At 38.4% G+C, this 21,747-nt stretch overlaps 1 protein-coding gene and 2 long non-coding RNA genes across 27 annotated transcripts in view, besides 1 other annotated feature; 2 read left to right on the top strand and 1 right to left on the bottom strand.

Annotated features, from left to right (window-relative positions):
- The window catches only part of DNAH14 (dynein axonemal heavy chain 14), a 469,633-nt gene extending 459,552 nt beyond the window's left edge, over positions 1–10,081 (bottom strand). For 20 of the 25 annotated variants that reach the window (XM_011544062.3, XM_011544067.3, XM_017000296.2 and 17 more), the window contains exon 1: positions 9,900–10,081. The gene's annotated coding sequence lies outside the window, so the exon portion shown is untranslated. The remainder of the gene's footprint in view (positions 1–9,899) is intronic. The other 5 variants (NM_001367479.1, NM_001145154.3, NM_001349911.2 and 2 more) reach the window with 1 other exon arrangement.
- Positions 9,726–9,825: a silencer, noted in NCBI's record as "silent region_1854". NCBI's record gives its function as "represses an Ori minimal core promoter by ATAC-STARR-seq in GM12878 lymphoblastoid cells {active_cell/tissue: GM12878}" and the evidence as "EXISTENCE:reporter gene assay evidence [ECO:0000049][PMID:35858748]".
- The window catches only part of LOC105373109 (uncharacterized), a 45,784-nt gene continuing 34,200 nt past the window's right edge, over positions 10,164–21,747 (top strand). The window contains exon 1 of the long non-coding RNA XR_949207.2: positions 10,164–10,225. This is a non-coding gene — a long non-coding RNA (uncharacterized LOC105373109). The remainder of the gene's footprint in view (positions 10,226–21,747) is intronic.
- LOC124904524 (uncharacterized) lies at positions 15,499–20,198 on the top strand. The gene is made up of 2 exons (XR_007066899.1): positions 15,499–16,237; positions 16,992–20,198. It is a non-coding gene; the product is annotated as an uncharacterized LOC124904524 (long non-coding RNA).

Raw genomic sequence — 21,747 nt, 5'->3', positions numbered from 1 at the left:
TGCAGATGTTTATTATTTGAACATGTTTTTTGATTAGTTTTTTTTGTTGTTGAGATGGAGTCTCACTCTGTTGCCCAGGCTGGAGGGCAGTGGCACAATCTCGGCTCACTGCAAGCTCCACCTCCCGGGTTCACGCCATTCTCCTGCCTCAGCCTCCTGAGTAGCTGGGACAACAGGCGTCCACCACCACACCCAGCTAATTTTTCGTGTTTTTTTAAATTTATTTTTAGTAGAAACAGGGTTTCACCATGTTAGCCAGGATGGTCTCAATCTCCTGACCTCGTGATCCACCCACCTGGGCATCCCAAAGTGCTGGGATTACAGGCATGAGCCACCACACCCGGCCGTTTTTTGATTCGTTTTAAAAGGGCCATGCCAAGATCAATGATGACTGGGTATAGGGGAAAAGGATTAGAGTACAATCCAGTGCATCTGAGGGTTCTACTTACTCTGTGAAAATAAAAAGACTAAAAGTGTATTGTTTAACTGGTTTATTAGACAACAGAAGCCAGAAGACAATAAATTAATATCCTCAAAATGCTGAGAAGAAAATAACTGTCAGTCAAGTATTGTATTTTTAAAATTGTTATTTCTCTTTTTTAATGAGGTAAAATATACATATATAATTTGCCATCTTTCACATTTTTACATGTATAGTTCAGTGGTAATAAATATATTTATTCTTTTTCCATTCATCCCCCTCCCCTTACCGGCCTCTGGTAACTACCATTCTACTCTATTTGCACGAGAGCCACTTTTTTTGCTCCCACATATGAGTGAGAACATGTGATATCTGTCTTTCTGTGCTTGGCTTATTTCACTTAGCATAATAGCCTCTAGTTCCATTCACATTGCCGTAAACGACAGGGTTCTTTTTTACAGCTGAATAGTATTCCATTTTGTATATATACCACATTTTCTTTATTTATCCATTGATGGGAACTTAGGTTGATTCCATATTTTGGCTACTATGAATAGTGCTGCAATAACATGCAAGTACAGATATCTCTTTGATATACTAATTTCCTGTCTTTTGGATATATAATCAGTAGTGGAATTGCTGGATCACATAGCAGGTCTATTTTTAGTTTTTTGAGGAACCTCCATATTGTTCTCCATAGTAGTTGTACTAACTTACATTCCCACCAACAGTGTATGAGGATTCTCCTTACTCCACATTCTCACTAGCATCTGTTATTGCCTGTCTTTTTGATACAAGTCGTTTTAACTGAAGTGAGATGATGTTGCACTATGGTTTTGATTTGCATTTATTTGATTATTAGCAATGTCAAACACGTTTTCATATGCCTTTTGGCCATTTGTATGACTTCTTTTGAGAAATGTCTGTTCATATCTTTTGTCTATTTTTAATCCTTTTGTTTTTTCGCTATTGAGTTATTTGAGCTCCTTATATATTCTGGTTATTAATCCCTTGTCATATGCTTAGGTTGCAAATACGTTCTCCCTTTCTGTAGATTGTCTATTCACTCTGTTGATTGTTTCTTTTGCTGTGTGGAAGCTTATGGCTTGATGTAATCCAATAATCTCTTTTTGCTTTGGTTGTCAGTGCTTTTGAAGTCTTACACAAAATAAATCTTTGCCAAATACCTGGATCATTTTCCCAACATTTTCTTTTAGTAGTTTCATAGTTTCAGTTCTTAGATTCAGGTCTTTAATCCATTTTGATTTCATTTTTGTGTATGGTGAGAGATAGGGGTCCAGTTTTATTATTCTGCATAGAGTTATCCAGCTTTCCTAACACCATGTATTGAAAAGACCTGCCTTTCCCCACTGAATGTTCTTGGTGACTTTGTCAAAGATCAGTTGGTTGTAAATGTGTGAATTTATACCGGGGTTCTCTCTTCTGTTCCATTGGTCTATGGATCTGTTTTTATGCCAGTATCATACTGTTTTGGTTACTATAGTTTGGGAGTACATTTTAAAGTCTGGTAGTGTGATGTCTCTAGCTTTGTTCTTTTTGCTCAGGAGGGCTTTGGCTATTCAGAATCTTTTGTGGTTCCATACAAATTTTAGAAGTGTTTTTTCTATTTCTGTGCAGGATGTCATTGGTATTTAGCTAGGGACTGCACTGAATATGTAAATTGCTTTGGGTAGTATTGTCATTTTAATAATATTAATTCTTCTGATCCATGAGCATGGAATATATATTTCATTGTGTCCTCTTCAATTACTTTCATCAAATTTTCATAGTTTTCTTGTATAGAACTTTCATTTCTTTGATTAGATTGATTTCTAGGTATTTTATATTTATGTAGCTACTGTAAATGAGATTCCTTTCTTGATTTCTTTTTCAGATTGTTTGCTTTTGGTGTATATAAATGCTACTGATTTTCGTATGTTGATTTTGTAACTTGCAACTTTACTGAATTCATTTATCAGTTCTATCAGTTTTTTTGGTAGCGCCCTTATATTTTTCTAGATATAAGATCATGACATTTGCAAACAAGGTTAATCTGATTTCTTCCTTTCCAATTGGGATGACCTTTCTTTCTCTTGCTTAGTTGCTCTGGCCAAGACTTCCAGAAGTATGTCAAATAAAAGTGGCAAAGTGGGTATATTTGTCTTGTTCTACTTCTTAGTGGAAAAGCCTTCAATTTTTCCCTGATGTCGGCTGTAGGTCTGTCATATATGGCCTTTATTATTTTGTGGTATGTTCCTTCTATACTCATTTTGATGAGGATGTTTATCATAAAAGGATGTTTAATTTTATAAAATGCTTTTTGATAACTAATCAAATAATCATATGATTTTTGTTCCTGGTTCAGTTAATGTGATGTATCACATTCACTGATTTGTGTATGTTGAACCATCTTTACATCCCTGGGAAGAATCTCAATTGATCATGGAGAATAATTTTTTTAATGTGTTGTTGAATTCATTTTGCTAGAATTTTGTTGAGAATTTCTGCATCTATCTTCATCAGTGATACTTGCGTATAGTTTTCCTTTTTTGTGTGTTCTTCTCTGGTTTGGGCTTCAAGTTAATGCCAGCCTTGTAGGATGAGGTTGGAAGTACTCCCTCCTCTTCACTTTTCTTGAAGGATTTGAGTAGGATTAGTATTAGTTATTCTTTAAATGTTTGGTAGAATTCAGCAGTGAAGGCATCAGGTCCCAGGCTTTTCTCTGATGGAAGACTTTTTATTACAGCTTTGAACTTGTTACTACCTATTGGTTCGTTGATGTTCTCTGTTTCTTCATGGTTCAATCTTAATAGGTTGTATATGTCCAGGGATTTATCCGTTTCTTCTAGGTTTTCCTATTTTTTTGGCACACAGTTATTCATAATAATCTATAATAATTCTTTATATTTCTTTGGTATCAGTTGTAGTGTCTCCTTTTCATTTCTGATTTTGTTTATTTAGGTCTTCTCTCTCCTTTTCTGGTTTGTCTTGCTGGTGGTTGTGGTTTATCAGTTATCAATTTTGTTTCTTTTCAAATGATCAGTTTTTCATTTCATTGATCCTCTATGTTTTTTAGTCACTATTTCATTTAGATCTGATCTTTATTATTTCTTTTCTTCTACTAATTTGGGGTTTGGTTTGTTCTTGCTTTTCTAGTTCCTTGAGGTACATCATTAGATTGTTAATTAGTAATCTTCCTACTTTTTTTCATGTAGGTATTCATTGCTATAAAATTCCCCATTAGCACTTACTTTGATATATTCCACAGGTTTGGGTACGTTATGTTTCCATTTTCATTTGTTTCAAAAATTTTTTTTGTTTCTGTCTTAATTTCTTCATTGACTCACTGGTCATTCAGGGGCATGTTGAATGAAATACATTCATTTACATGTATTTTTATGGTTTCCAGAGTTGTTCTTATTACTTTCTAGTTTTATTCCAATGTGGCCAAAAAAGATACTTGATTTTGATTTTTAAAAATGTGTTGAGACTTGTTTTGTGGCCTAATATCTAGTCTGTCCTAGAGAACATTCCATGTGCTAATAAGAATATATATTCTGCAATTGTTGGACAGAACGTTCTGCAAATGTTTGTTAAGTTCATTTGGTCTCAAGTCCAGTTCTAATCTAATGTTTCTTTTTTGATTTTCTGTCTAGATAATCTGTCTAATACTGAGAGTGGGGTATTGAAGTCCCCTACTATTATTGTATGGCAGTCTTTATAGCTAGTAACATTTGCTTTATTAATATGGGTGCTCCAGTGTTGGTTGCATATATTTAGAACTGTTGTATCTTCCTGCTGGATTAATTCCTTTATCATTATATAACGACCTTGTCTTTTTTACTATTCTTGACTTAAAGTCTGTTTTATCTAAGTATGGCTACTCCTACTCCCTTTTGGCTTCCATTTGCATGGAATATCTTTTTCTATCCCTTTACTTTCAATCTATATGTGTCGTTACTGATAAGGTGAGTTTCTTGTAAGCAGCATATAGCTGAATCTTTTTAAAATCCATTCAGCTATTCTATATCTTTTAAGTGAATAATCCATTTATGTTGAAGGTTATTACTGACATGTGAGGCTTTGTTCCTGTCATATTGTGAATTGTTTTTTGGTTGTTTTATATATTCTTTGTTCCTTTATTTTTCTCTTTTTGTTGTTGTGGTTTGGTGAATTTCTGCAGTGGTATCATTTGAGTGCTTTCCCTTCCTCCTTTGTGTGATTGCTTTACCACTGAGTTTTATACTTTCATGTGTATTCATGATGATAAATGTCATCCTTTTACTTCCAGGTTTAAGACTCCCTTGAGCACTTCTTAGGGGACCAATTTTGTGATCCTGAATTCCTTCAGCATTTGTCTAGGAATGACTTCATTTCTCCTTCACTTCATTTTAGCTGATAATATATTCTCGGTTGGCATTTTTTTCTTTTGGCATTTTGAATATATCATTCATTCTTTTCTAGCCTGTAAGGTTTCTGCAGAGAAATCTATAGTAGTCTAATGGGGTTTCCTTTATAGGTGACAAGGATCTTTTCTCTTGGTGTTTTTAAGATTCTATCTTTGACTTTAGACAGTCTGATCATAATGTGCCGTGGGGATCTTTTCACATTGTTTCTGCCTGAGGATCACTGAGCCTCTAGTGTCTGAATGTCTAAATCTCTTGCTAGACTTGGGAAGTTTTTATCTAGTATTTTGTAAAACAGGTTTTCTAATCCTTTCTCTCTTTGCCCTTGGGGATATCAATAATTCATAACTTTTGTCACTTTTTATTGTCCCAAATGTCATGAAGACTTTGCTCATTCTTTTTTATACTTTTTTCTTTATTTTTTCTGACTGAATTATTTCAAAACACTTATCTTTAAGTTCTGAGATTCTTTTTTCTACCTGATTTAATCAATTGTTGAAGCTTTCAAATGTATTTTGTATTTACTTCAATAAATTCTTCAGTTCCAGAATTTTTATTTGGTTCTTTTCAAAAGAATCTTATCTCTTTAGGAAATTACTCATTCATGTCCTAAATTATTCTTCTGATTTATTTGTATTTTTTAACAATCCTCTTGTATGTCACTGAGATTCTTTAAAATCAGTATTTTGAGTTCTGTATCTGAGATTTTGAAAATTCTTTTTATTAAGATCTACTGATGGAGGTTTACTGTGTTCCTTCGGAGGTGTCATATTTCCTTGCTTTTTCATGTTTTTTATGTTTTTATGCTGATATCTGTGCATCTGGTGTAACAGTCACTTCTTCCTATTTTTGATACTTTCATAGGGAAGGACTTTTCCCTGAAGATATATCTATGGTACTGGCTGTTACGGTACTTTGGCTTTGAGTCTGCGTGTGTGTATTAGTGTAGTCTCCGCATTTCTTTGGCTGTAAACAACGTTAGTGATATCTGTAGTACACAAGAACACAACAACAACAAAAAAGAAGACAACAGGTCAATATCCCTCATGAACATAGACGCAAAACTCCTCAGCAAAATACTAGGAAACCAAATCCAACAGCACATCAAAAAAATAATACACCATGATCAAATGGGATTTATACCAGGAGTGCAAGGATGGTTCAATATATGCAAATCAATAAGCATGATACATCACATAGAATGAAGGACAAAAGCCATTTGATAATCTCAATAAATGCAGAACAAGCATTGGACAAAATTCATCATTGCTTCATGATAAAAACTCTCAACAAACCAGGCATAAAAGGAACATACCTCAAAGTAACAAAGGCCACATAGGATAGACCCACAGCTAACATCATACTGAATGGATTAAAGTTGAAAGCCTTTCCTGTAACAACTGAAACAAGATAAGGATGTCCCCTTTCACCACTCTCATTCAGCCTCATACTGGAAGTCCTAGCCAGAACATTCAGGCCAGAGCAAGAAATAAAAGGCATTGAAATTGGAAAAAAAGAAAATCAAATGGTCCCTCTCTGTTGATCATATGATTTTATATCTAGAAATACCTAAAAACTCCACCAAACAATTCTTAGATTTTATAGATGAATTCAGTAAAGCTGCAGGATACAAAATCAATGTACAAAAATCAGTAGCATTTCTATACACTAATAATGACCTAGCCAAGAAATAAATCAAGCAGGCAATCTAATTTACAATAGCCACAAAAGAAAAATACCTAAAAATAAATTTAACCAAGGAGGTAAAAGATCTCTACATAGAAAACTATAAAACACTAATGAAAGAAATTGAATACAACACAAACTAATAAAAAAGCATCCCATGCTCATGGATAGGAAGAATTAATATCATTTAAATGACCGTATTGCCAAAAGCAATTTACAGATTCAATGCAATTCCTATCAAAATACCAATATCATTCTTCACAGAATTAGAAAAAAATCCCCCAAATTCATATGGAATAAAAAAAGAGCCTGAATAGCCAAAGAAATCCTGAACAAAAAGAACAAAGTTGGAGGCATCACAATACCTGACTTCAAAATATACTACAAAGCTATAATAACCCAAACTGCATGGCAATGGTATAAAAACAGACACACAGACCAATTGTACCAAATAAAGAACCAAGAATTAAAGCCACATATTTATAGCCAACTGACTTACAACAAAACTGACAAGAACCTACATTGGAGAAAGCATACCCTTTTCAATAAATGATGCCTGGAAAACTGGACAGCCACATGCAGAAGAATGAAACTGGACCACTATCTCTCACCATATACAAAAATCATCTCAAAATGGATTAAAGACTTAAACATAAGATCCAAAACTAGGGAAAACTCTCCTGGACATTAGGCTAGGCAAATAATTTGTGACTAAGACCTCAAAAGCACAGGCAATAAAAATAAAAATAGACAAATCGGACTTAAACTAGAAAGTTTCTGCACAGCAAAACAAATAATCAACAGAGTGAAAAAACAGCCTGTTCAATAGGAGAAAAAAATTGCAAACTATTCATTTGACAGGGAACCAAGATCCATAATATACAAGGAACTGAAACAACTCAACAGGAAAAGCACAAACAATCCCATTAAAAAGTATGCAAAGGACAAGCATAGACATTTCTTAAAAGAAGACATGTAACCAGCCAATAGGTATTTGAAAAAAATGCTCACCACCACCAGAAAAATGCAAATCAAAAACCAGAATGAGATACCATCCTACCCCAGTCAGAATGGCTATTAATAAAAAGTCAAAGTCAAAAAATAACAGATGTTGGTAAGGATGTGGAGAAAAGGGAACTCTTATACACTGTTAGTGGGTATGTAAACTAGCACAGCCACTATGGAAAGCAGTAGGGAGATTTCTCAAAAAACTAAAAATACAATTACCATTCAATTCAGCAATTCACTACTGAGTATCTAACCAAAGTAAAAGAAATCAATATATAAAAGGAATACCTGCACTCACACATTTATTGCAGCAGTATTCACAAAAGCAAAGATACAGAATTAACCTAAGTGCCCATCGATGGATGAATGGATAAAAAATGTGGTACATATATACAAAATGAAATATTATTCAGCCATAAAAAAGAATGAAATCACATCATTTGCAGTAACATAGATGGAACTGGAAGTTATTATCTTAAGTGAAATAAGCCAGGCACAAAAAGATAAATATCATGTTCTCACTTATATGTGGGAGCTACAAAATTTGAATAAAATTTAAGTTTAAAATTTGAATACTATATGGAGGTAGAGAGTGGACAAATAGATAACACGGACTGAGAAGGATGAATGGCAGGAAGTGGGAGGATGAACAGAAGTGGGCTTAAGGGTACAAAGACTCAGTAAGATATAAGGAATAAATTCAGTGTTTGATAGTGGAGTAAAATGTACTTAACAAAAATATATTGTACTCAGGTCATGGACAACCTAAGTACCGTAATTTGGTCACTACACATTAGATACATGTACCAAAATTTCTCACGTACCTCATAATCTGGTACAAATAAAAACATTTAAATATAAAAATAAATTTTTCAATAATAAATCATAGCTTCTTGTAACTTTTTTACTTTATAAACTTTATTTCTTACTCTTTTGTAATAACACTGAGCTTAAAACACACATTGTACAGCTGTATAGAAATATTTCCTTTATATCCTTATTCTATTAATATAGGCATTTTTCTATTTTAAAATTTTATTTTACTTTTTAAACTTTTTAATTATAAACTAAGATACAAACACACACATTAGCCTAGGCATAGACAGGATCAGTATCACCAATATCACTGTCTTTCAACTCCACATCTTGTCCCACTAGGTCTCTGGGGTAATAACACATGGAGCTGTCATCTCCTATGATAACAATGCCTTCTTCTGGAATATCTCCTAAAGGACCAGCCTAAGGCTGTTTTACAGGTAACATTTTTTTAATAAAGAGGAGTACACTAAAATAATCGTTTAAAAGTATGGTATAGAGGCCGGGCGCCGTGGCTCACGCCTGTAATCCCAGCACTTTGGGACTCCGAGGTGGGCAGATCATGAGGTCAGGAAATCGAGATCATCCTGGCTAACACGGTGAAGCCCCGTCTCTACTAAAAATACAAAAAAATTAGCCGGGCATGGTGGAGGACGCCTGTAGTCCCAGCTACTCCGGAGGCTGAGGCAGGAGAATGGCGTGAACCCGGGAGGCGGAGCTTGCAGTGAGCCCAGGTCGCGCCACTGCACTCCAGCCTGGGCGACAGAGCGAGGCTCCGTCTCAAAAAAAAAAGTATGGTATAGTAAATACATAAGCAAGTAACATACTCATCTGTTATTATCAAGTACTATGTACTGTACATAATTGTATGTGCTACTCTTTTATGACTGGCAGCACAGTTTACAATAGCATCACCACAAACACATAATGCCTTGACTATGACATCACTAGGCGACAGGAATTTTTCAGCTCCATTATAATCTTATGGGACTACCGCTGTTATGAGGCACATGACTGTATATGTACATATATTTCCTAGCGTAGTCTATCCCACAAACGCAAGTAAAATATCCATTAGTGTCCCTAATGTAATTCATCAACTTCTTAGAAAAGTTATATCTCTACATACAAAATCACTTATAATAATCCATATATATTTGTGTTGAGAGTGTATATGTATATATTATACAATAAGTGATGGCAAGGTTTTTCAAATAGCTCATTATTCGTTTATAAATGGAAAATTTTAAAAAACTTCAGAAATATAGGACTAGAAGGGAACGCGGCCTGCCTGAGGGAGAGCAACTAAGAAGAACCTCGCGTTGAGAGCTCCTGCGGTCGGGGCTACCGGCGTGGCGGCGCCGGCGCCTGGTGGATGCGCCAGCATCTGCCTGGTGAGGGTTCCGCGCGGGGACTCGGAGGCGCTCCCACAGCAGCTGGGTGGGGAGCGCCCAGGCCCTCCGCGCCCACGCAGCCCTCCCAGTGCGACACCGGCTGCCCCACGCGCCGCCCGCCCGCCGAGGCTCTGCCGACCGCTGACAGGAAGACGCTGACGACCTTACCCGCCGCGCCGTGGTCCGACGGCCGTTGTGGCCCTTCCTGGAAGCGGCGAAGGTCCGGCCCGCCCACGCCGGCGAGCGCCAGACTAGGGTGAATGGGAAGGACCGCGCAGCACAGCCCTACCACGCCAGGCTCCGACGCCTCCTGGCCGTAACCGCCTGACCAAGAGCCACGCCTGCGCCCTGGCGAAGAGGCCACAATGGGGGTGGGGTCCCGAACGCGGCGCAAGGGATCCTGGGTGCCGGGCAGGTGAGGAGGGGCCCTGGCTCTTGCGAGATTCCACCGCGGGTACGCGGCGGCCCCCGATGTGACACCGACGGTGCTGGGGGTAAGGGGGGTGTTGGGGGTGCAGAGTGTGGCCCAAAAGTGTGCCCTAAAGGCAGATCAGATATGGTGCCCAAGTTAAAGACTCTAGTCTGACCTTTCTACCACCTGCATGCCTACCTAGGTATGGCCTAAAGGCGGGAGAAATGTGTGCCTTTGCAGAACAGGTGGCTCTGAGACCTCTGAAAGAGGTGACTTACACTTAAGATTTTCACAACTCGTGGGCGTGAATTTTCATTAAAAAGCCTCACTTACTAGTGAAGGATCGTATATATGTAATAAAACAGGTCTAAGAGGTATACAATTCTAAGGTAAAAATAATTACATATATATTAAAATACCCCATTTCTTTTTAAAGGTCTTATAAAAATTTAGTAAGTTAATGTTCTATATTTCACTCACGCAACAACTACAATATTTATTGAGCACTTACTATGTGCCAGGCACTGAGCTAGGCACAAAAAATACCTGGGTGACTTCATATTTCTTGGTGGGATCCACAGGAAAAAAAAATGTAGAGATTTGTTGGGGCCTATTACATCTAAGGCTGTGTTTAATATTTTAAAAATCAGCTTCCCATTTTTGTTACAATATTTAATAAGTTTAAATATATAACCATTCGGCATATTACAGTAAAATCTATGTATGAATTTGAGTCTTTGAGACGCTGTTTGGTAAGAGGGTTTAGGTATTGGGGGTAAGGAAATATGTCACTTTAAAAAGGAAAAACATTTTGGAAATAATGTTTTTATATGCCAATAATCATTTCCATTTGAATAAAATTGGCCAAAAAGTTGAGAGTCGTAACTTAAAAAAAATCAGTCAATAGACTGTCTAAAACAAAATAAGATCAACAAAAAAGACAGACTATGAAGGGCCGCCTGAGTTCACATCCAGTGTTCCTTATCTCAGTAAATAGCAATTCTATTTGCTTAAACCAAAAATCACTGGCGTTATCCTTGACATTTCCCACTCCCTTACCTTATATAGGCTTATTCTTTTTTGTATAACTTACTATAAAAGTGAATAAAGTATATCTATAGTATTTCATCTTAACTTGATTGGTTTTAGTAATCTATTTTTTTAAATGCATTTATACGTTCTTTCCCAGTGCTTTCTGTAATCATTTTTTAAATGTTTTTTAATGAAATTATTTCAATGGAAAAATGAAGTCAGATTTTATGATAAAAAGTCAGCCTGATTTGGCTAATTGATTTGACAATGCTGATTATACAGCAGACATTTTCCATAAATTAAATGAGCTAAATCCACAGATTCACAGTTTTGACAAAAAAAAATTGAAAAACATAAAAATGTCTTTAAAATTGTATTGGCAAAAGTGTATTAAACTTTTTTTTTAATTTTACTTTAAGTTCTGGGATACAAGTGCCGAACGTGTAGGTTTGTTACATAGGTATACATGTGCCATGGTGGTTTGCTGCACCTATCAACCCATCATCTAAGTTTTAAGTCCCGCATGCATTAGCTATCTGTCCTAATGTTCTCCCTCTCCTTACTTCCCAATCCCTGACAGGCCCTGGTGTGTGTTGTTCCCCTCCCTGTGTCCATGTGTTCTCACTGTTCAACTCCCACTTACGAGTGAGAACGTGCAGTGTTTGGCTTTCTATTCCTGTGTTAGTTTGCTGATGATGATGGCTTCCAGCTTCATCCATGTCCCTGCAAAGGACATGACCTTGTTCCTTTTTATGGCTGCATAGTATTCCATGGTGTATATGTACTACATTTTCTTTATCCAGTCTATCACTGATGGGCATTTGGGTTGGTTCCATGTCTTCGCTATTGTAAATAGTGCTGCAATAAACATATGTGTGCATGTGTCTTTATAGTAGAATGATTTATAGTCCTTTGGGTATATACCCAGTAATGGGATTGCTGGGTCAAATGGCATTTCTGGCTCTAGATCCTTGAGGAATCGCCACACTGTCTTCCACAATGGTTGAACTAATTCACATTTTCACCAGTAGTGTTCACGTGTTCCTGTTTCTCCACGGCCTCACCAGCATCTGTTGTTTCTTGACTTTTTAATAATCGCCATTATGACTGGTGTGAGATGGTATCTCATTGTGGTTTGGCTAACTGGGGACAGTGTTGCAGTGAAGACTGGAATTGTTGAACCTCTCAAACACTCATCTTCATTATACTCAGGAGATTAGTTTATTTTCTACCCAATGCTTCAGTGTTAATGGGGCTTTTTCCTTTCTTTCTTTCTTTTTTTTTTTTTTTTTTTTGAGATGGAGTCGTGCTCTGTCACCCAGGCTGGAGTGCAGTGGCGCGATCTCAGCTCACTGCAAGCTCCACCTCCCGGGTTCAAGCTATTCTCCTGCCTCAGCCTCCCGAGTAGCTGGGACTACAGGCGCCCGCCACCACGCCCGGCTAATTTTTGTATTTTTAACAGAGACAGGGTTTCACCGTGTTAGCCAGGACGGTCTCAATCTGCTGACCTTGTGATCCGCCTGCCTCGGCCTCCCAAAGTGCTGGGATTACAGGCATGAGCCACCACACCCGGCAATGGGGCTTTTTTCTATGAACCTTTGTGTAGCTCTTTTATAGTCATAAATATCACTGAAAAATATTACTCTTTTTTCTACTTCAAGAAAACTACCAGATATTTTAATTCTATAATACAAAGTGAACTTCTGAGAATTTGTTCATGCATTTTCTTTTTTTTGACAAGCTTATTAGGCCACTGGATTCCTTGAATAAGTATAAAGGGACTTAAATTTTATAAAGCAATTTGATATATGAGCAAATTCAAATAGCACTTTCAAGTATGAACTGCATAAATGGATAAAGAGTATAACATTGATATGGTATTATTTGGATTTTTAGCAAGACATTTGGTAAAGATTCTCATGATATCCTTATGGATAAAAAAGTGATATTGTGCTTAGGAATTTTTTAATTCATGGTAAAAGGTTTCTAATGCTATATTGCTAGGCTCTCCTTGGCCTAATTCCTTTCAAAGTTTTTATTAAAGAGTTCGATATTGACATCATGGCATGCTGGTTTAGGTGCATACAATATGAAACTGGGATGGGTAAATAAATGAGCCAGGATCAAAGAGAATCTTTATAAACTGAAACAATGCACCAAGTCTAACATGGTCCAGTTTCATAGGGGTATGTGTAGAATATAGTTGGGTCCAAAAAACTAACTTTGCAAAAACATATGGGGGTAGATGTGGTTTAACAATAGTAATCATGAACAAAATCTTAAGGGTTTTAGTTGATTGTGAATTTCTTGAGTTCACAGTATGATTTGGCTGGAGGTAAAGTTCATCAATTATCCTGAGGAAGTGGGAATAGACATATTCTTTGATGCTCCAGGGTATACAACCAGAGCCCATGCATGAAAACTATAAGAGGGCAGATTGACATTAAATATCAGGGAAAAAATGTCTGATTAGTCAAGCTGTCTAAGTATGGATCCCACACCTTGAAAAGTAGCGAAACCTCTGCCAGTGGGAGGACTTGTTTGAAGCAGAATCGGGGGACTTGTCTAAGTTGTGTAAGCAGAGGCCTGACAATCATTTGAAGAGAATGTTGAAGGGGAAGTTGATACATTGGATGAGATACATTCAATGAGTTATAAGATCCCTTCTGACAAGTATTAATAGATGGAATACTGTGGAGCTAATGAACCACGCCCACAGCAGATACTCCACCACCTCCTCTACCACTGAGCTAGTGTGTATACTTTGGAAACCACCAACAGTTTGGAGTTGACACTCTAGAAACCAGTTAGCATTCTCTGTGGCTATTGTAATACATTTGTTCTTTTTTTTTTTTTTTTTTTTGAGATGGAGTTTCACTCTTGTCACCTGGGCTGGAATGCAATGGCGTGATCTCAGCTCACTGCAACCTCCGCCTCTGAGGTTCAAGCAATTCTCCTGCCTCACCCTCTCGAGTAGCTGGGATTACAGGTGCCCGCCACCACGCCCAGCTGATTTTTGTATTTTTAGTAGAGACGGAGTTACTGGTTTCGAATTTCTGACTTCAGGTGATCCGCCTGCCTCGGCCTCCCAAAGTGCTGGGATTATAGGCGTGAGCCATGGCGCCTGGCCACAAATTTGTTCTTAAAACAAGAAAATGTTATGCTCGCAGTTCTGTAAACCAGAAGTCTAAAACTAGTTCCACTAAGCTGAAATCAGACACCTGCAGGGCTGCACTGCCTGCAGAGGCTCCAAGGGAGAATCTATTCCTTGCCTCATCCTGCTTTTGGTGGCTGCTGGCATTCTTTGGCTTGTGGCTGTTTCACTCCAGTCCCTGCATCTGTGGTCACATTACCTTATCCTCCCCTATATGCCAGATCTCTTCCGCTTCTCTCTTATAAGGAAGTGTGATTACGTTTAGGGCTTACCCAGATAATCCAGGATAATCCCCTAATTCAAGAGCCTTAACTCAATCACACCTACAAAGCTCCCACCCACCCCCCCCACCTTATTTATTTATTTATTTTTTGTCATGTAACGTAACAGTCACAGGTTTCAGGGATTATGTATATCTTCTGGGGTGCTGATTATTCTGTCTATCACAAAGCCCATACGCTTTTCCTAGGAAAAAATAAAGTAAAAAATATATGGAATGAAAATGTAAAATAGAGGTTGGGTCTGTAGTAGATTATAGGTGGTGGTTCACGCCTATGTAATGCCAGCACTTTGGGAGGCTGAGGTGGGTGGATAGCTTGAGGCCAGGAGTTTGAGGCCAGCTTGGCCAACATGGTGAAACCCAGTCTCTACTAAAAATACAAAAATTATCTGAGAGTGGTGGTGGGCGCCTGTAATCCCAGCTATGCAGGAGGCTGAGGCAGGAGAATCCTTTGCACCTGGGAGGTGGAGGTTGCAGTAAGCCAGGATGGTGCGGCTGCACTCCAGCCTGGGTGACTGAGCGAGACTCTGTCTCCAAAAAAAAAGAAAAGAAAATGTAAAATAGTATAGCTGTACAGTATAACATAGAACATGGACTTTGTAGTTATGGTAACCTGAATTTGAATTCCAGCATGGTATCACGTTAAAGGTAAATGAGAAAAGGTGGCAGCTGCTACATGGCAAGCACTTATTAAATGGTAGCTATTATTATTATTTATACTTTGAAAAATTCATGATTTAACAGAAGTTGTTATCGGAAAGGGGTCCCGATCCAGACTCCAAGAGAGGGTTCTTGGGTTTCGTGCAAGAAAGAATTCAGGGCGAGTTCACAGTGCAAAGCAAAAGCAAGTTTATTAAGAAAATAAGGGAATGAAAGAATAGCTACTCCATAGACAGAGCAGCCCCAAAGGCTGCTGGTTGCCCATTTTTATGGTTGTTTATTGATTATATGCTAAACAAAGGATGGATTATTCAAACCTCCCCTTTTTTTAGACCATACAGAGTAACTTCCTGACATTTCCATGACATTTGTAAACAGTCATGGAGCTGGTGGGAGTGTAGCAGGGAGGACGACCAGAGGTCACGCTTGTCGCCATCTTGTTTTTGATGGGTTTTGGCTGGCTTCTTTACTGCAAGCTGTTTTGTCAGCAAGGTCTTTGTGACCTGTATCTTGTGCTGACCTCCTGTCTCATTCTGTGACCTAGAATGCCTAACCGTCTGGGAATGCAGCCCAGTAAGTCTTAGCCTTATTTTACCCAACCCCTATTTAAGTTGGAGTTGCTCTGGTTAAAACTCCTCTGACAAAATGGCATGGGAGGCTGAGGCAGGAGGATCACTTGAGCCCAGGAGTTCAAGGCCAGCCTGAGCAACATAGTGAGTGAGACTTCATCTCTAAAAGAAAAGAAAAAAAGGCATGCTAATGTTCTCTAATATCCTTTTTCTCACCTTCTCAAAAAAATCTTTGAAATGATACATAAAATGGCAAACAGTGGCTGCAACTCTGGAAACCAGAGTCTATTGGGATAGTCTATTAATAGTGGAATGTATGGCAGTTGGCTGAGATATATGTTCCTGAACTCTGCTACCCATCTTCTAAAACAGAAGAGCAAATATAATGCTGCAAAGAAGGTAGGTAAAAGTTTGGTCTTTAGAATGGCCTGACTAGAAAATTGTACAGTTATGTCTTCACTGCACCAGAATAATTTAATGCTTCAGGCAGACTGATGACCTCTTTCCCTGTCCCCACATACCCAGTCAGAGACTGCAACTCCTGTGATGCCACAGAACCAACAGCATCCAGCAGAGGAAAGGGTGCATTACATCTTATGAGGCATTCTATCTTGGAAGCACTGTGGGCAGGGCCAAAAAACAGGCCCTGGGAGCTGGGCATGTGAAGGAGTTGTATCTTTGACTTACATTTGTACAAAGAAAAACTGCAAACTACATGAGCCTCTGATAATCAGGAAAATCAGCTAGAAGGGTAGGGTATAGGCTCATCAGATCAGTGCCTATAAGGGTGACTAAGGATTGTTTACATCAACCTTAAGGCTCATTCTAGATATGAGAGAGAGAATCTACTAGCTCTCAAATTAGTACCGAGAAGAACTAAAGGCACTCAGTATACCTGGCCTCTTGGCCCACACCAAGCTGGATAGATGTCTCTATATTCAAAGATTATTAAGCAAAGAAAAGAATGCAATAATAATAGCAAAATGTTATCTCTAGCAATGTGATATTTACCATGTGCCAGGCACAATTTTAAGTTCTGTGTCAGTTATCAATATAGGATTGCTCAGCTTTGAATACACATTTCAGTTTATAGCTCTGTGATAATGAAATTCCCGAGCTATTTAAAGTGAATGCAGTGTTATGTTTTTTCCAGTAGATGGTAGTAGAGGAACATTGTCAAAGGAAGAGGAGCTCCTGCCCTTTCCAGCATAACCTGGAGTTAGCAGTATAGGTGTGAGGCCATTTTGGCAGAGCCTGCTCCAGGTACAGACCTCGAACTGGTCTCTCTGTGACCTTGAAGACTTGGCCTGGCAATAGCCTTTCTGCAGCCCTCGGGACACAGACACCACAGACCCACACAGCCCATGTACTCTGAAGGGCTCCTATCCCTGAAGATGACCCGACTCTCACTGCAGACCCACACCCCTGGCTGCTGGGTGCAAGCCTGCAGTCCAGAGGGTGGCCTGTTGCTTGCCCAGCAGTCCCAGGTCAGCTCCAGGCTGGCCAAGCCAACAAAATTCTCTGCTATCCAGTGGGCTGAATCACATCTTCTCCAACAAGGTCTGAGCCCCTTCCAAGTTTGTTTTTTCCTGCCACCCTCAACCGTAGGGTACCATGTAGTTTCCTTATATTCTATAGTTACCCTTTTGTTGATACATTTATACATCAACCTTTCCCAGTTTAGCCTACTCTCTGGTTTCTGTATCCTGACTGGACCCAGACTACTGCAAATACTTCACATGTATTAATTCATTTACTTACCATACCAATTGTATGAGGTGAGTACCATTACTGACATCATTTTTCTAATGAAGAGGTTGTGTGCGGTTAGGTAACTCATACAACCTTGTCTTTGTTTCGAAAATTTTTTAATCTAAAGACTCAGAAGAAAAACACCCTCTAAACAAATATTTTTTGTAAGATATAGAAGAAAATTTTAGAAAACATCTGTTTGGTTTTCCCAAGGAACCAAGAAAATACAGCCTTCCTATAGGAACAGAGACATAAGAAGAGAATAGACTTGGATGCAGGCAGAATTTTAAAAAGAAGCTAGCAAAATAAAATTTAAGAGAAACCAAAAATGTTGTGGAAGAATTTGAATCGTACTAAAGGCAGTACAGAGGAAAATTATTACTGCAGGAAAGCGAATAAGTGATGTGGCAGTTTAACCCCAACAGTTCTCCCAGAATACAGAGGAAAAAGAGGTGAAAAGAATGAGAGACCATAAGAGAGAAGCAGGTCAAAGAAGTGAAGGCATACCTACCAAAGTTATCTCTTCTTAGAGAAATAACTAGAATAATGGGGTCAAAAGTCCTCAGGCGGGAGGCTATTAAGAGGAAAGTAAAGCCCACATGGGGAAATTATTATCACTTATGGGGAAATTTTTAGAAGTTTCTGTGTGACCTCCCGCAAACTCCCATGGCATTTTCTTTGCACTGTGTCACTCACCCTGTTCTGCCTTGAATTTTGCTGAAAGTGTAAGACTAGCACTGAAAAGAACATATTTCAGATCCCAGTCTTTTCACTTACTGTGTGACATTAACAAGTCAACTGCTAGGCCTTGGTTTTCTATCTACCTTATAATATCTACCTAAAGTAGTTTATCTATCTTGAAAGGTTGTCTGGTGACACAAATGAAGATATATGGAAATCTCTAGACAATAGTTTCTGAACCTGAATCTTTATGTCTCTATGTGAGTCTCAATATTTAAGGACAAAAAAGCAGATGTATTTCCTTTGTGTCCCCTGCAGTACCTAGCAACTGTAGGCACTGTATAAATATTTATCAAGCATGTTTAATTTAAGATAAAAGTTAGCAAAGTAGTCTAAACCTATCCCACTATCACAAAAGGAACAATGGGTTTCATAAAGACCAGAAAAATATAGATCAATAGAATTAATTGTGTTTGTAAACAGATATAAATTCATTTATTATTGCTATTTGTTTTGGGGTTTTTTTGTTTTTGTTTTTGTTTTTTTGAGATGCTGTCTCGCTCTGTTACCCAGGCTGGAGTGTAGTGGCACGATCTCAGCTCACTGAAACCTCTGCCTCCCGGGTTCAAGCAGTTCTCCTGCCTCAGCCTCCCAAGTAGCTGGGATTACAGGCATGCGCCAACACACCTGGCTAATTTTGTATTTTTAGTAGAGGCAGGGTTTCTCTGTGTTGGTCAGGCTGGTCTTAAACGCCCGACTTCAGGTGATCCGCCCACTTCGGCCTCCCAAAGTGCAGGGGATTACGGGTGTGAACCACCACGCCCAGCTATTTGTTTTAATTTCAGTGTTTACAAAAGGCAATGAGCATTGAGCTATTTTAGTATAGATGTAAATTTTGATAATTTTCTCCATCCTTTGTTACAACTGAAACATTTTAGTTCAATACACTGTAATTTACAGCTAAATAGTACAAAATGGTGATTTGTAACATTTTGTTTTCACAAAGAAAAAATGATTTAAAATGACAGAAGAAAATTATAGCAATTAACATAGCCATCCAAAGGAATATTTTCTAAGCATATAAGATGACTACTATCATCAATAGAACTACGCAATAACTTGGATTCACAAATATGTCAACCTTCATTAAGAACCTTAAATTCCTAAATGTAAATCAAGTTACAAAAATCATTATCCATCTGGAGAGAAACCTAATGATTTCCCTATGCCAGCTGTGGAAATAACAGGTTTGAGCCATGTTAAAAATCAATGTTACCCAAATAAAGAGTTTTCTCAGATTCCTCTCTGGTAACATGCTGTTAATGTTGGTAACAGAGGCCACTGTCAGAGCATTTGCCCAAGTCCAGAATACTTCCCAAAGATAGTAGGATATAGGATATCTCTACACAGGTAGGGGCTAATTCAAGCCACTATGCAGAGATAGCCTCTATCCTACTATCCTTGAGAATTGAAAGAGAGAATACCTGTGTGGAGGTATCCTATTATCTGGTGAATTTGAGGCAGGAGAATAGGGTGTGGAGGCAAGGAACCTAAGGCCAGTTCATGCTGACTTCCTAGAACTAAATCAAAAGGAAAACCCCAATTTTCCACACCTAAGTAACAAAAGGACCAGAGGCTACTCCCTTTGCAACACTTTCTACATGGCAGATGGAAAATTGAAAGTACCTCTGATTGGTTGCAGAAAGCAACCAAGCAGATGTTTGCATAGGAGTGTAACTTTGTAACTTCACTTTGGCCTCTGATTGTGGGCCACTGCTTCATTTGCACCGGGTGTACATCAAGTGGCCAATGGTGGATTTGGACCCCAGAAGACTGTGTAACCAGGGCCTTTGAGCCACTGCTCGGGCCACTCCCACCCTGTGAAATGTACTTTCATTTTCAATAAATCTCTGCTTTCGTTGCTTCATTCTTTCCTTGCTTTATTGTGCGTTTTGTCCAATTCTTTGTTCGAAATGCCAAGAACCTGGATAACTTGCGGTCAAGACCCTTTACCGGTAACATGTATATAGAGAGGTTATCTCTCTCAATTCACTAGTTAGAGTCTACTATGCTATTTAATATTAGTGTCCTAGATGTGGCAGTCGTTTGGAAACTCTATTGGATTTCTTACTGAATTCATGGACAGTTCCCAGATTAACCTACTCAAATGTGAATCCTACAGACTTGGAGATTAAGTCTGGAGAAAGCCTTTTGGCAAACCAAACCCTGGGAGCCATCCTGGGGTTTGCATCTCATAATGCACGGGAAAGCTGATCTCTATTCAGTTTTGCAACTTCTGTATTGTTTTTACACAGGATTAAATGTTAAAACTCTTGCAGTGCTCACATCCATCTAGATTAGTTCTTTCTCTACTTCCATACAATTCACTTACGCAGTTTAGTTTCATTGGGAACTAAACTCTTGACAGTGCACAGTAGGAAGTATACTCAAAATTCAGAAGAAGCCAGGAAAAGGGATCGAGTTTGAACAAGTCCCTTCTCAGGGACTCATTACACCAAATTTACCTTACAGAATTGTTGATTTAAATGGTTTCTCTCCCTCTGATCTGTTCTTTATGTTTCAGCTAAAATAATCAGTTTACCACCCCACTAGAAAAAGGCAGGCAGGAATCTACGTGACTTGAGTTTGTGAAAAACCCTACAGCAATCTATTTCCAATTAGAGAGAATTTCCTCTCCACCTGATTCATTTATGCTGCTTAATTTTCTGTTCTTTAAACTCAGCTTTTTTCATTTGCATGAAATTGTTTAAAAAACAGATTAATCTTGCTTTCTATAACTTTCACAGCTTGGTCCCTGACTGTAACTTTGAATTCTTACTTTGACTCTCTTTTCCTGTGGATAGAATAGAAGTGGAATTTCAAAGAACATATACAATTTAACTTGAAATACGCGTTAGTTTGTCTGATTACAATTCTCCCTGGAAACTAAGTGATTTTGATTATGGGTGTGGGTTTGTGTGAATGGAGCAGGTTGTAGAAAATGAAGAGCAATCTTCCTGGGGTTTGGGCCACTGCCTTGGGAAGGTAGCTGTGAGGACCTAAGATAATATGTGAATAAAGAAAAGAATATAGAAAAGGAATGTGGGAGAATCTACAAGGTTAAATTCACTTACTCCAAAGGATTTGGAACCTGTCCCAGTCAACAGAACCATCTATTGCCCTTTATACCTTTCAGAACCATCTATTGCCCTGTATACCTTTAGCATCCCAAGTACTACCACCTTGTTCAACCACCATGGATTTCAGAACCATCTATTGCCCTGTATACCTTTAGCATGCCAAGTACTACCCCCCTGTTCAGCCATCATGGACTACTGACTACCACAAATCCCACTGCGAGCTGCTGCCAGAATCTCTCTCCTATGTCAGTTAAAGATGGTGTCCACCACCAGGCCTCTGACTCTATTCTTTATAATCATCATGGAGCAGAAAACACGTAGCTTTATGTCAAGATT

The sequence above is a fragment of the Homo sapiens genome, chromosome 1, assembly GCF_000001405.40.
Source record: "Homo sapiens chromosome 1, GRCh38.p14 Primary Assembly".
Lineage (NCBI taxonomy): Eukaryota > Metazoa > Chordata > Mammalia > Primates > Hominidae > Homo > Homo sapiens.
Note: the sequence above shows the minus strand (reverse complement) of the source record. Positions and strands in the feature narration are given on the sequence as shown.